The following is a 2,124-nucleotide window of genomic DNA, read 5'->3' as shown; positions in this document are numbered from 1 at the left end:
GGAGGCCTTCCATGGGGTCCAGGTAGGAGGCAGGGCATGCCTCAATCTTAACTGAGTGAAGCTATGACTGCCATAGAAACCCAAGTGAGCAGGATCCACTAAAATGGAAAATTGGCAAGGCACAGGGGATCACGCCTTGTAATTGCTGCAACTTGGGAGGCCAAGGCGGGAGGACCACTTGAGCCCAAGAGTCGGAGACCAACCTGGTCAACATGGTGAGATCCCTACAAAAACTAAAAATAAAAATAAAAAGCCAGGCATGGTGGTGTGCGCCTGTAGTCCCAGCTACTCAAGAGGCTGAGGTGGGAGAATTGCTTGAGCCCAGGAGTTTGAGACCAACCTGGACAACATAGTGAGACCTCGTCTCTACAAAAAATAAAAATAAATTAGCTAGGCGAGTGGGCACACACCTGTAGTCACAGCCACTTGGGAGGCTGAGACAGGAGGATCGCTTGAGCGCAGGAAGTTGAGGTTGCAGTGAGCTATGATCACACCACTGCACTCCAGCCTGGGCAACAGAGCAAGACCTTGTTTCAAAAAAAAGCCAAAAAGTGATACAAACCATTATTGACTATAACCACATCACTAGTGCTTTTTGAAAAGCAGTCATACAATCTTGTGCCCGTGGTGATGGTACTAACTGGGTGTTTGTTTTAATCTAAATAGCCACATCCACCATGGAACCACTCCTTCAGCGAAACGTGTGCAGGAAGCGTGGTCATGAACTGCACTCTTGGTATGAGCAACCCTGCAGGATAACAAATCACGGTTGATTACTTGAAGGGATCTTAGCTTGGTTCCTATTTGACGAATGATGGCATATTCGATACATTGATTAAGTTGTGACAAGGGAATTGATCCAACTATAAATAATCAAGAATATGGACTGTGGCAGGGCGCAGTGGCTCACACCCGTAATCTCAACACTTTGGGAGGCTGAGGCAGGTGGATCACCTGAGGTCGGGAGTTCGAGACCAGCCTGACCAACATGGAGAAACCCTGTCTCCACTAAAAATACAAAATTAGCCGGGCGTGGTGGCGCATGCCTATAATCCTAGCTACTCGGGAGGCTGAGGTAGGAGAATCACTTGAACCCTGGAGGGGGAGGTTGCAGTAAGGCGAGATCGTGCCGTTGCACTCCAGGTTAAAATAAGGCAGGGCATGGGTGTGGGGGGCATGTGTAAGGGTCAGTGGGAGTCTGGGGTCAGTGTGTGTGGGGGTGTGTACATGAAGTCAGTGTTGGGGCTGGTGTATGTGTCCATGGGGGTTGTGTAGATTGAACAGCAGAAGCTGGAGGCTGGAGGTCCAGCATCAAGGCGCCAGCAGGTTCCCTTTCCCCCGAGGCCACTGTCCTAGGCTCCAGCAACCACCTGCTCACCTTGTCCTCACATGGCCTGCTCTCTGCGTGCACAGCCCTGGTGCCTGTGTGGGTCCAAATTTCGCCTTCTTAGGCCGGGCATGGTGGCTCATTCCTGTAATCCCAGTACTTTGGGAGGCCAAGGCGGGCGGATCACTTGAGGTCAGTTCGAGATCAGCCTGGTCAACATGGGGAAACCCTGTCTCTACTAAAAACACAAAAATTAGCCAGGTATGGTGGTGCAAGGCTGTAATCCCAGCACTTTGGGAGGCTAAGGCAGGCAGAATACCTGAGGTCAGGAGTTCGAGACAAGCCTGGCCAACATGGCAAAACTCCATCTCTACTAAAATTACAAAAAAAAATTAGCTGGAGGTGGTGGCACACGCCTGTATCCCAGCTGTTCAGGAGGCTGAGGCAGGAGAATCGCTGAAACCTGGGAGGCGGAGGTTGCAGTGAGCTGAGATCACACCACGGCCCTCCTGCCTGGGTGACAGAGTGAGACTCCGTCTCAAAAATAAATAAATAAATAAATAAAGCAGATTATTTGCAGCCTTGACTCGGTTTGAGCTCCTGGGGGAGGAATTTAAATCCAGAGGAGTCAAGGGGATTTTTGGTGGGGAGTGAAACAGGGTATGAAGCAGGCCCTCCCTTGTCTCAGAGATGGTTTGTGTAGAGCACGGGGGCCTGGGATTCTGGATTTGCCCTAAGGAGCTCACAAGTGCACCCTGGGGGGTGTTAATATTGTTATGTCCTTCCCCATACCCAGG

At 50.8% G+C, this 2,124-nt stretch overlaps 2 annotated features.

Moving 5' to 3' along the window:
* Positions 605-774: an enhancer, noted in NCBI's record as "experimental_50922 CRE fragment used in MPRA reporter constructs". NCBI's record gives its function as "activates a minimal promoter by MPRAs in K562 erythroleukemia cells, with activity observed for both the introgressed and non-introgressed 19:30261756 or rs16963291 variant alleles {active_cell/tissue: K562}" and the evidence as "EXISTENCE:reporter gene assay evidence [ECO:0000049][PMID:34662402]".
* Position 689: a transcriptional cis regulatory region, noted in NCBI's record as "Neanderthal adaptively introgressed variant 19:30261756 (GRCh37/hg19 assembly coordinates) or rs16963291 in the experimental_50922 CRE". NCBI's record gives its function as "modulates activity of the experimental_50922 enhancer by MPRAs in K562 erythroleukemia cells {active_cell/tissue: K562}" and the evidence as "EXISTENCE:reporter gene assay evidence [ECO:0000049][PMID:34662402]".

This window comes from Homo sapiens, chromosome 19, assembly GCF_000001405.40.
Source record: "Homo sapiens chromosome 19, GRCh38.p14 Primary Assembly".
Classification (NCBI taxonomy): Eukaryota; Metazoa; Chordata; class Mammalia; order Primates; family Hominidae; genus Homo; species Homo sapiens.
This window is presented reverse-complemented; position numbering and strand designations above follow the sequence as displayed.